This window comes from Homo sapiens, chromosome 9 (genome assembly GCF_000001405.40).
Source record: "Homo sapiens chromosome 9, GRCh38.p14 Primary Assembly".
In the NCBI taxonomy this organism is placed as follows: domain Eukaryota; kingdom Metazoa; phylum Chordata; class Mammalia; order Primates; family Hominidae; genus Homo; species Homo sapiens.
Window position 1 is genome coordinate 6,800,925 of NC_000009.12, and position 12,652 is coordinate 6,813,576.

Sequence of the window (12,652 nt, forward strand, 5' to 3'; positions counted from 1 at the left end):
GACAGTATTCTCATTTTAAACAAACATACGTTGGAGGATATAAAATATGTAGTATCCTTATATTGCTAATGAAAATTAAGGTAAAATTGACAGCTCACTGTGAGGTGGTTTTATTTTTTTTGAGCTAACAACTCTCACTTATAAGCTGTATAGCACTGGCCAAGTTACTCATCTCCTGACCCCAAGTTTCTTTATCTGATGACGCTTGACTTGAGTTTCAGAGTTATAGGTACATGTAGACCTAAATGTGAAAGACAAGACTTTAACACTCTTAGAATATAAAGTAGACCATTTTTATGTCCTTGAGTAGGGAAATTTTTTTTTTTTTTTTTTTTTTTTTTTTTTTTGAGATGGAGTCTCGCTCTGTCCCCAGGCTGGAGTGCAGTGGCGTGATCTTGGCTCACTGCAAGCTCTGCCTCCTGCCTCAGCCTCCAGAGTAGCTGGGACTACAGGTGCCTGCCACCATGCCCGGCTAATTTTCTGTATTTTTTTTTAGTGGAGACGGGGTTTCACTGTGTTAGCCAGGATAGTCTGGATCTCCTGACATCGTGATCCACCCGCCTTGGCCTCCCAAAGTGCTGGGATTACAGGCGTGAGCTACCGTGCCCAGCCTGACCTTGTCTCTTAAAAAAAAAAGATTGGAGGGCAAGTTACAGGATAAGAGAATATATTTACATGCTCTTGTGCAGATATGCTCTCTCTCTCTCTCTCTCTCTGTCTCTCTCTCTCTCTCTCTGTATATGCCTCCATATACACATACACATCGAAGAGTATTCTCCTTGGATATATAAAAGAATATATAAAAGACTTCTATACATTAATAAGGAAAAACCCAACAATGCAATAGTAAAATGATAAAGAGACTTGAATAAGTACTTTATAAAAGAGAGTATCAGTGAGCTGGGCGCGGTGGCTCATGCCTGTAATCCCAGCACTTTGGGAGGCTGAGGCGGGTGGATCACCTGAGGTCAGGAGTTCGAGACCAGCCTGGCCAACATAGTGAAACCCTGTCTCTACAAAAATACAAAAAATTATCTGGGCATGGTGGCAGGCACCTGTAATCCCAGCCACTAGGGAGGCTGAGATAGGAGAATTGCTTGAACCCAGGAGGTGGAGGTTCCAGTGAGCTGACATCGCGCCATTGCACTCCAGCCTGGGGAACAAAAGAGAAACTTTGTCTCAAAAAAAAAAAAAAAGTATCAGTAAGGTCAGTAAACATATGGATGAAAAGGTTTCTTTCTTCATTTATTCGGAAAATACAAATAAAATTCACACTTGAGTACCATTGTACACTTAACAGAAAGACTAAGAGTTAAATGATGGACAGTATTAGGTGATGATGAAGGTGTGGAGGAATGGGAACTCTCGTATATTGCAGTTGGGAGTGCAAATTGGTACAACCACTTTGCAACAGTTGGCAATATCTATGAAATTTGAACTACACGTATCCTATGTGTCAGTAATTTGACTCTTAGAAGTGTCTGTGTATGCATGGATGTTTTAGAGACCCATGTGCATATATGCACTAGAATATCTGTACAAAAATATTAATAGCATTATTTGCAATAGCCAATAATTAGAAAAAGCCACATGCCCATCAATGGTTATCAGTTTATAAATACATAAATATTTATAAGACAAAATACTGAGTAGGAATGAAAATCAAAGAACTTCAGCTACATAGGCTGTTACATTTGCTTATTTATTTATTTATTTATTTTGAGACAGAGTCTCACTCTGTCACTCAGGCTGTAGTGCAGTGGTGTGATCTCAGCTCACTGCAACAATTCACCTGCCTCAGCCTCCGGAGGAGCTTGGACTACAGGCATTGACCACCACGTTTGGCTAATTTTTGTATTTTTAGTAGAGATGGGGTTTCACCATGTTGGCCAAGCTGATCTTAAACTTCTGACCTCAGGTGGTCTGTCCACCTTGGCCTCCCAAAGTGCTGGGATTACAGGAGTGAGTCACCGTGTCTGGCCTAGGCCGTTATATTTAAATCTCACAAAATATGAGTGAAGTATAAAAGATAAACCTCAAGTAGTATATACTGTAGGGTTACATTTTTATACATTTGCAAAACTGGTGTATAGGTATGCATATAGAAGCATAAAACTAAAGCCCAGCAATGAAGTCATTGCCATAAACACCGTAATTGTGGTTACCTCTTGGGCAATAGGGAAGATGAGGCTGGAAAAGGGCGCTTGGAGGGCCTGTATCGTGCCAGCAATATCTTGCCTCTTACACCTGGGCAGTAGGTCATTTGGTGTTTGCTTTGTAATAATTCACAGAGCTGTGTGCTTGTGATTATGCATTTTCTACATGTGTGCTGTTTTTCAATAAAAAACCTTAAAAAGATTGTTTTAGGCCAGGCACGGTGGCTCATGCTTGTAATCCCAACACTTTGGGAGGCAGAGGTGGTCGGATCACGCTGTCAAGAGATCGAGACCATCCTGGCCAACATGGTGAAAACTCGTCCTATTAAAAATGCAAAAATTAGCCGGGCATGGTGGTGCGCACCTGTAGTCCCAGCTACTTGGGAGGCTGAGGCAGGAGAATCGCTTGACCCCGGGAGGTGGAGGTTGCGGTGAGCCGAGATTGGGCCATTGGAGTCCAGCCTGGGCAACAAGAGCAAAACTCGGTCTCAAAAAAAAAAAAAAAGTTTGTTTTAAAAAAATTAAAAAAACTTCTAAAGGTGGTAAAGTGGCCAGGTGCAGTGACTATTGCCTGTAATTCCAGCACTTTGGGAGGCCAAGGCAGATCAGTTGAGCTCAGGAATTTGAGACCAGCCTGGGCAACATGGCGAAACCCCATCTGTAACAAAAAGAAAAAAAAAAAAAAAAGAAAAGTTCCAGCAATAGATCATGAATTGCTTCATGACGTTGTACGTTCTATTTTAATTTAATTTAATTTATTTGTTTATGAGATGGACTGTCACCCAGACTGGAGTGCAGTGGTGTGATCTTGGCTCACTGCAGCCTCCACCTCCTGGGTTCAAAGTGATTCTCCTGCCTCAGCCTCTCGAGTACCTGGGATTACAGGTGCCTGTCACCACGCCCGGATAATTTTTGTATTTTTAGTGGAGATCAGGTTTTACCATACTGGCTAGGCTGGTCTAGAACTCCTGGCCTCAAGTGATTTACCCATCTTGGCCTCCCAAAGTGCTAAGGTTACAGGTGTGAGCCACTACGGCTGGCTGTTACCTTCTACTTTTAAATCCTATCAATATGTATTTTTGGTCTTAATGTTTTCTGTATCTTTTCACTCTTAGTAATTAAGTACTTAAATACTGCAGGCAAACACTGGTGTGCTGAGGCACCTTATACTGGCATTTGAGAGTTGATAGTGCACATCTCTTCCCAGCTGCTTATGTAGTGATGTCACGTTGGTAGGTTCAGATTGGCCATGGTGGGAGTACTATGCCATGGACACAGGTAAAAGCTACAAATCAAGGTTTCCTCCACCTTTCTGGAAAGCTGGTTATTAAAGATCTACTAGCATACCGCTGTGCTATCGCCATATTGTGTGAGAAGTCTATAAAGAATATAATGTTGGCCGGGCGTGGTGGCTCACGCCTGTAATCCCAACAATTTGGGAGGCCGAGACGGGTGGATCATGAGGTCAGGAGTTCAAGACCATCCTGGCCAAGATGGTGAAACCCTGTCTCTACTAAAAATACAAAAATTAGCTGGGCGTGGTGGCAGGCGCCTGTAATCCTGGCTACTTGGGAGCCTGAGGTGGGAGAATCGCTTGAACCCAGGGAAGCGGAGGTTGCAGTGAGCTGAGATCGTGCCACTGCTCCCCAGCCGAGTAACAGAGTGAGACTCCGTCTCAAAAAAAAAAAAAAGAATATAATGTTGACTATGTATTTACTTATTTTTCTCATAATAATATAAACAGCACATAGGTACTTAGATCATATTCAATAAAGATGAACTTCTTTGGGGAAGAAATTATTTATGTAAACATAATTTCGTCTTTTTTTGTTTTTCCTGAGACAGAGTCTCACTCTGTCACCCAGGCTGGAGTGCAGTGGCGCGATCTCAGCTCACTGCAACCCCTGCCTCTTGGGTTCAAGCGATTCTCCTGCCTCAGCCTCCCGGGTAGCTGGGACTACAGGTGCGTGCCACCACGCCCGGCTAATTTTTGTATTTTTAGTAGAGGCGGGGTTTCACCATGTTATCCAGGTTGGTGTTGAACTCCTGACGTGGTGATCCGCCTGCCTCGGCCTCCCAAAGTGCTGGAATTACAGGTGTGTGCCACTGCGCCCTGCCAATTTCATCTATTGAGAGGCAGGTTAACATAATCGCTCAGTGTGAATTCAAACTGTTTTAATTAGAATTTCAGCTCAAGTAGTCTTTAGCCATTTTAACTTCAAATTATTTTACTTCTGTGTGTCTTTCAATTTTATCTTTAAAATCAAGATGTTAATAGTACCTACTCAAAATGAGTTTAATACAAGTACAGTGTTTGGGATAGTGAGTACTCAATAAATTTTGCTATTGAATAACATCATATTGCTTTATTGCAAATATTCATCTTTTTTTTTTTTTTTTACACATTTGTCATAGAGATACTGAGAAATTCTTCAGTTGTAGTTTATCAGAATACTTAAAAGCTAAATTACTTGGAGTATTTTCAAGATGATATTTTATTTCATTATTTTATTTTTAGGTGATTCCTCCTAAGGAGTGGAAGCCAAGACAGTGCTATGATGACATTGATAATTTGCTCATTCCAGCACCAATTCAGCAGATGGTCACAGGGCAGTCAGGACTGTTCACTCAGTACAACATCCAGAAAAAAGCGATGACTGTGAAGGAGTTCAGGCAGCTGGCCAACAGTGGCAAGTGAGTAGAATCAGTTTGCTATTTCTGTTTCCTTCAAAGATTTATGTAAATATGTTAAGAAACAAAGTAGACAGAGGAGCTTATAAATGAAAAGCAGGAGTCTCCCATGCAATTTTTCACCCTTCATTGAACTGTTTCTGTTTTCTGTTCTTTAGGTGGTTGCTGAACATTTGACTTAAAGAAATTGCTCTTTATTTTATTATCTCGTTCCTAGCAGTTATAAGTGGAACTTCTTATCCTATAGTTGCCATGAGTTTTCGTTTCTACACATGATTCATGTTTGTTGGGCAGTTTTTTTGGTGTGTGTTTGATAATGTTTAAGCCTTAAATGATTTATATGTATTAGAAGATTAGTACTTTTAAAAGCAAACCTTGAATGACTTGAAAGGCCACCATTGCATTAGTTATTTATTGCTGTGTAACAAATTATCCCAAATTGGCCAGGCATGGTGGCTCATGCCTGTAATCCCAGTACTTTGGGAGGCCAACGTGGGCGGATCACCTGAGGTCGGGAGTTCAAGACCAGTCTGATCAACATGGAGAAACCTTGTCTCCACTAAAACTACAAAATTAACCATGCGTGGTGGCACGTGCCTGTAATCCCAGCTACTCAGGAGGCTGAGGCAGGAGAATTGCTTGAACCTGGGAGACAGAGGTTGCAGTGAGCCGAGATCACGCCATTGCACTCCAGCCTGGGCAACAAGAGTGAAACTCCGTCTCGAAAAAATAAATAAATAAATAAATAAATAAATAAATAAATAATCCCAAATCTTAGCTGCTTAAACCAACCCATAATTTCTGAAGGTCAGGAATCTGACCTTCAGATTCTGCCTCAGGGTCTCATGAGGTTGCAGTTAGCATGTTGGCTGGGCTACAGTCATCTGAGCATTTAATTGTGGCTGGAAGATTCTCTTACAAGAGTGCTCCCCTTTCATGGCTTTTGATGGGGTCCTCAGTTCCTTGTCATATGGACTGCTCTTCATGTCATGGCAGCTGGCTTCTCCCAGAGCAAGTGATCCGAGAGAGATCGCAAGAAGGAAGCCACATGTCTTTCCTTGCCCTGTTTCAGAAGTGACACACTGTTGCTCTCCCTCTCCGTCTCCGTCTCCCTCTCCCTCTCCCTCTCCCTCTCCCTCTCCCTCTCCGTCTCCCCACGGTCTCCCTCTCATGCGGAGCGGAAGCTGGACTGTACTGCTGCCATCTCCGCTCACTGCAACCTCCCTGCCTGATTCTCCTGCCTCAGTCTGCCGAATGCCTGCGATTGCAGGCACGCGCCGCCACGCCTGACTGGTTTTGGTGGAGACGGGGTTTCGCTGTGTTGGCCGGGCCGGTCTCCAGCCCCTAACCGCGAGTGATCCGCCAGCCTCGGCCTCCCGAGGTGCCGGGATTGCAGACGGAGTCTCGTTCACTCAGTGCTCAATGGTGCCCAGGCTGGAGTGCAGTGGCGTGATCTCGGCTCACTATAACCTCCCAGCCGCCTGCCTTGGCCTCCCAAAGTGCCGAGATTGCAGCCTCTGCCCAGCCGCCAACCCGTCTGGGAAGTGAGGAGTGTCTCTGCCTGGCCGCCCATCGTCTGGGATGTGAGGAGCCCCTCTGCCTGGCTGCCCAGTCTGGAAAGTGAGGAGCGTCTCCGCCCGGCCGCCATCCCATCTAGGAAGTGAGGAGCGCCTCTTCCCAGCCGCCATCACATCTAGGAAGTGAGGAGCGTCTCTGCCCGGCCGCCCATCGTCTGAGATGTGGGGAGCGCCTCTGCCCCGCCGCCCCATCTGGGATGTGAGGAGCGCCTCTGCCCGGCCGAGACCCCGTCTGGGAGGTGAGGAGCGTTTCTGCCCAGCCGCCCCGTCTGAGAAGTGAGGATACCCTCTGCCTGGCAACCACCCCGTCTGAGAAGTGAGGAGCCCATCCGCCCGGCAGCTGCCCCGTCTGAGAAGTGAGGAGCCTCTCCGCCCGGCAGCCACCCCATCTGGGAAGTGAGGAGCGTCTCCGCCCGGCAGCCACCCCGTCTGGGAGGGAGGTGGGGGGGGGGTCAGCCCCCCGCCCGGCCAGCCGCCCCATCCGGGAGGGAGGTTGGGGGTCAGCCCCCCAACCTGGCCAGCCGCCCCGTCCGGGAGGGAGGTGGGGGTGTCAGCCCCCAGCCCGGCCAGCCACCCCCTCCGGGAGGGAGGTGGGGGGGTCAGCCCCCCGCCCGGCCAGCCGCCCCGTCCGGGAGGGAGGTGGGGGGGGTCAGCCCCCCTGCCCGGCCAGCCGCCCCGTCCGGGAGGTGAGGGGCGCCTCTGCCCGGCCGCCCCTGCTGGGAAGTGAGGAGCCCCTCTGCCCGGCCAGCCGCCCCGTCCGGGAGGTGAGGGGCGCCTCTGCCCGGCCGCCCCTACTGGGAAGTGAGGAGCTCCTCTGCCCGGCCACCACCCCGTCTGGGAGGTGTGCCCAACAGCTCATTGAGAACGGGCCAGGATGACAATGGCGGCTTTGTGGAATAGAAAGGCGGGAAAGGTGGGGAAAAGATTGAGAAATCGGATGGTTGCCGTGTCTGTGTAGAAAGAAGTAGACATGGGAGACTTTTCATTTTGTTCTGCACTAAGAAAAATTCCTCTGCCTTGGGATCCTGTTGATCTGTGACCTTACCCCCAACCCGGTGCTCTCTGAAACATGTGCTGTGTCCACTCAGGGTTAAATGGATTAAGGGCGGTGCAAGATGTGCTTTGTTAAACAGATGCTTGAAGGCAGCATGCTCGTTAAGAGTCATTACCAATCCCTAATCTCAAGTAATCAGGGACACAAACACTGCGGAAGGCCTCAGGGTCCTCTGCCTAGGAAAACCAGAGACCTTTGTTCACTTGTTTATCTGCTGACCTTCCCTCCACTATTGTCCCATGACCCTGCCAAATCCCCCTCTGTGAGAAACACCCAAGAATTATCAATAAAAAAAAAAAAAAAAAAAAGAAGTGGCACACTGTTACATCTGCCATATTCTGTTTGTTACAAGCCAGTTGTTAAGTGTAGCTAGCCTACACTCAAGGGGAGGAGAATGAAGCTCTACTTCTTGAAGGGAGGAGTGTCAATGAATTTGTGGGCATATTTAAATGTTGTCACAATTATTATTATTAAACTTCTTTTAAAAAATTCTGATATGATAATTAAGGCCCCAGATGAAAGCATAAATCTTACAAAAACAAAATAAAAAAACCTGAAAGACCAACAAAAAATCATAGTTTCCAAATTCCCTGGATGGGTGTGAATGAGATTAAGACTTTGAATGAATTTAGGTATCTTCCTTTAAAAAAATTATATTTGACATTGTAAGCACATGATGCTACTTGAAGACTCTTATTTCTGCATGTTAAATTCCTACTGTGGAACATTCTGGCTATTCCAAAGAAATTGAAAATTTTATATTTGATATAATTTGAATCATTTCTTTTGAATTTTTTGGGTTGGTATTAATAGAGTTTTATTCTTTCAGATCTTATTAATCGAGAACATGAAACTTTCAACAAAGATTGGAAGCATTTTCTTTCAGACTCTTCCAGAATTCTTTTATAAGTGCAATGCTGTTGAAACAAGATTGCAGAGGCAATTAAACCTGTTTACAAGTATAAACTATTGACTGTTTTCTGTTACTGTGTTTTAGTACCCATTTCCAGTGTCTCTCTTAAAGTGTTAATTGAATAGGTTAGGTCATTGAGTAGTAACTCTGCTTGGCTCCTTTGATATTTCAAGGGATACTTACTAAAAACTATTGTTAATACTCTTGATAATTGTCATAACTGCCATAGGAAAGGTACAAAGTGCTATGAGGTTTCAAAGGAATACAAGGCTTCTGTGGTTGTTCATAAGGAATGGGTAATTTCATTTTGTAGGCACTATTGAGATGGATTTTGAAGGATGGTCAGAAACATTTCTACCAGTTACAAAAGTAATATGTGCTTATTTAAAATTTCAAAAATAGGCTGGTTGTGGTGGCTCACACTTGTAATCCCAGCACTTTGGGAAGCCGAGGTAGGTGGAATGCTTGAACCCAGGAGTTCGAGACCAGCTGGATAACATGGCAAAATCCAGTCTCTACAATAAATACAAAAATTAGCCAGGCAGGTGGTATGTGCCTGTAGTCTCAGGTACTCAGGAGGCTGAGGATTGCTTGTGCCTGGGAGGTTGATGCTACCGTGAGTCGTGATTGCACCGTTGTACTCCAGCCTGGGTGACAGAGCGAGACCCTGTCTTGAAAAAAATAAATAAAATTTCAAATATAGCCATATATAACTTTAACTCTAAGAGGCAATCATTGTTAGTATTACTTGGCAATTCAAAATATTATTAAGACTTGAGCCTTGAAGTTCTTTCTTCTCTTGTTATAAAGAAACTTTGATCATCCTCTCTAGCCCATTTGATTATTTCAGCATGGTATCGGTTTTCTACTTCAAGATAATTTTACTGAGTACACATTTTATACATATCTCTGTTAAATTATTACTCTACTGACTTGGTTGTAGATTTACTCTTTCTGAAGATAGCCATTCAGGTGACATTGTTTTGTGTATCACTGTGTACACAGTGCTTGGTATAGTATCTGGGATATGGTAGGTGCTTTTTCAAATGAATAAATAGTGTTATAAAAACTAAAATCCACTTAAAATGGTATAAATTTTTAGGCAAATTGTAAAGATTTACTTATTAACAGAATATACATTTCTTGACATTCTGGGGTTTAGAGATGGTTTAAAAAATTTTTGGTTTTTTTTAAGTTGTAAAATGTAACCATTATGGGAAATTATTTGAAAAATTATTTCTAGCTTTAATTTTATTTCTTTTGAAGTTAATTTACGCTGGGTACAGTGGTTCACGCTTGTAGTCCCAACACTTTGGGAGGCTGAGGTTGGAGAATTGCTTGAGCCAGGAGTTTCAAGACCAGCCTGGTCAACAAAGTGAGACCCTGTCTCTACAAAAAATAAAAAATTAGCCATGCATGGTGGCATGTGTCTGTAGTCCCAGCTACTCGGGAGGCTGAGGCAGGAGGATTACTTGAGCCTGGGAGGCTGAGGCTTCAGTGAGTTGTGATTGCACCATTGCCCCCGAGCCTGGGTGACAAGAGCAAGACCCTGTCTCCAAAAAAATAAATAAATAAATAAATAAAGTTAATTGGTCTTTTGATTTGGACTAGTTTCATTATAATTGTTGTAATGTTAAACAACTTTTGAAATTCATATTTTTTGTATTTCTTCTGCCAGTTTCATGTAGAAATTTATTTCAAATGCCAAGGAAATGGATTTCTAAGCCTCAAGAACCAATGCTCTTACTTGTCAACACAGAGCTGTGCCAGGATCACCTGGTTGTGGAATGGTCATGTTAGGAGATTAATTTTTGTTGGAGACAAGAGGTTTTCTGCTGGGCTGTCTTTTTTTTTCTGAGACAGAGTCTCGCTCTGTTGCCCAGGATGGAGTGCAGTGGCGTGATCTCGGCTCACTGCAACCTCCGCCTGCTGGGTTCAAGTGATTCTCCTGCCTCAGCCTCCCGAGCAGCTGGGACCACAGGTGCGTGCCACCATGCCTGGCTAAGTTTTTTGTATTTTAATGGAGATGGGGTTTCAACATGTTGGCCAGGCTGGTCTCTAACTCCTGACCTCTGATCCGCCCACCTCGGCTTCCCAAAGTGCTGGGATCTTTCCATTCATCTGTTTTTCTTTAGCACCTGACCTGGCATTGGTGCACCGTCTGTAATGTACTCAGTCTTAGCAGTAGAGACGATGACATGCTCATTTGGTTGATAATGCAATGTAGTCCAAAGAAAACCTAGAGATTTCCGATATAACTCTAATATAAAAATTTATAATGGTAGGTAATATGAATCACATTACTGATGTGTACTTTCCTCTAGGCACAGAGCCAAGTGCTTTCCATAATTATCTGATGGAGCCCTCACAACAAGCTTCCTGTTTTTATCCCTATTTTTTAGAAGAATAACTGAGTTCCAGAGAAATTCAGCCCCGTGTCTAGGGTTTTGTGGCTTATGAATGGAAGCCTGAGTTTAAACATGTGTAGCCTGGCCCTGGAGCTCACCTCTTAAGAACTGTACTGCAATGAGTGAGAGGTTCTGGGTAAGAAGATATGGTTGAATCAGTATCGGGCAAATTTACACTGGATTTGTGGAATAGCTGTGATTGTCCATTAGGAAGGACAGTCCATTAGGAAGGACTCTGATCAGTTACTAGCCAAGTCATTTATTTTGTTTAGAATTAATATTTGTTTAATATATTTAAGGATTTTAGAATTTAACTTCAATGGACAATACCAAACTTTATCTTTCTCTCTTAGAGTTATGAGTTTTAAAAAATTGATACTGCACATGCCTGTAATTCCAGCTACTCGGGAGGCTGAGGCAGGAGAATCCCTTGAACCCAGGAGGCGGAGGTTGCATTGAGCCGAGATCATGCCACCGCACTCCAGCCTGGGTGACAGAACAAGACTCTCAAAAAAAAAAAAAAAAGTTGTTACTGATTGAGTACATAGTGATAGATTGGTCTTGGTATAGGTGTAAAGCAGATTAGGGCTTCAGTTTCCAACAATCTTGGAGGTTTCTGTAGAAGTCCTAATAAACAGCATCTCTGCTATCTTCTCCTTTCTGATCATTCTGTGTTTTGGGGCAGTGGTCCCCAACCTTTTTGGCAAGGGACTGGTTTTGTGGAAGATAATTTTTCTATGGATGGGAGTGGTGGGATGGTTTCGGGATGAAACGGTCCTACCTCAGATCATCAGACATTAGGTTCTCATAAGGAGTGTGCAACCTAGACCCCTCACATGCACAGTTCACAACAGGGTTCATACTCCTATGAGAATCTAATGCCACTGATCTGACAGGAGGTGGAACTCAGGCAGTAATGCTCACCTGCCACTGACCTCCTATGCATCCCTGTTCCTAACAGGCCGCGGACCCCTACTGGGGATTGGGGACCCATTCTCCGGGAAATAGGGATGTACACCTGTCTCTGTCACCTGACTCTGATCTTTAGTTAGCTTGCTTAGCTTGTGCCTGGAATTCCCGATACTACTGGAACCTACTAGCAGAAGTGGTGGAATGATGACAGATTAATAGTGCTTTCATGCTAATCCTTTTTATTAAAAACATTTTTAAGGCTGGGTGCGGTGGCTCTCGCCTGTAAATCCCAGGAGTTGGGAGGCCGATGCAGGCGGATCACCTGAGGTCGGGAGTTCGAGACCAGCCTGACCAACATGGAGAAACCCCGTCTCTACTAAAAATACAAAATTAGCCAGGCATGGTGGTGCATGCTTGTAATCCCAGCTACTGGGGAGGCTGAGGCAGGAGAATCCCTTGAACCTGGGAGGCGGAGGTTTCAGTGAGCCGAGATCGTGCCGCTGTACTCCAGCCTGGGCAACAAGAGTGAGACCGTCTCAAAACAAAACAGAAGAAAAACATTAAAAAAAAAATTTTTAATTCTTTAGAAAATAGAGGGTCTCACTACCTAGGCAGACCTTGAACTCCTGAGCTCAAATGATCTTCCTGCTTTGGGCTCCCAAAATGCTGGGATTATAGCCACCATGCCCATCCCATGCCCATCCTTTTTATTTTTGACTGTGCTTTATATTCTAGTGTTCTGGGTAAATTCAAATTGTTCTATGTTTTAAATACAGTTGTTAAATTAAGTTGTTTGGTATTTTGAATACAGTTGTTCCATTATTTGGTATTCTTGTTACACAGATAACTAGTTTGGGGTCCCCAGTATAGTGAGTGTAGATGTCGGTTATTCTGTAGTCAATCTAAAATGTCCAGTATGCTTTATAGGGATTCTACTACTG

The 12,652-nt window shown here is 44.1% G+C and overlaps 1 protein-coding gene across 19 annotated transcripts in view, besides 1 other annotated feature; it reads left to right on the forward strand.

The window, feature by feature from the left end:
• KDM4C (lysine demethylase 4C) overlaps positions 1 to 12,652 on the forward strand; it is a 454,786-nt gene that overhangs the window by 80,062 nt on the left and 362,072 nt on the right. For 17 of the 19 annotated variants that reach the window (NR_148680.3, NR_148679.3, NR_148677.3 and 14 more), the window contains exon 3: positions 4,675 to 4,850. The exons of the other annotated variants lie outside the window; for them this stretch is intronic. Coding sequence is in view for 8 of the 17 variants with exons in the window: in NM_001146696.2 (NP_001140168.1) it covers positions 4,675 to 4,850 (176 nt within the window). In the remaining 9 variants the exon portion in view is untranslated. The remainder of the gene's footprint in view (positions 1 to 4,674; positions 4,851 to 12,652) is intronic. 19 annotated transcript variants of the gene reach the window in all.
• Positions 7,363 to 7,922: an enhancer, noted in NCBI's record as "NANOG-H3K27ac hESC enhancer chr9:6808287-6808846 (GRCh37/hg19 assembly coordinates)". NCBI's record gives its function as "activates a minimal SCP1, AML or CMV promoter by ChIP-STARR-seq in naive H9 embryonic stem cells {active_cell/tissue: H9 hESC(naive)}" and the evidence as "EXISTENCE:reporter gene assay evidence [ECO:0000049][PMID:30033119]".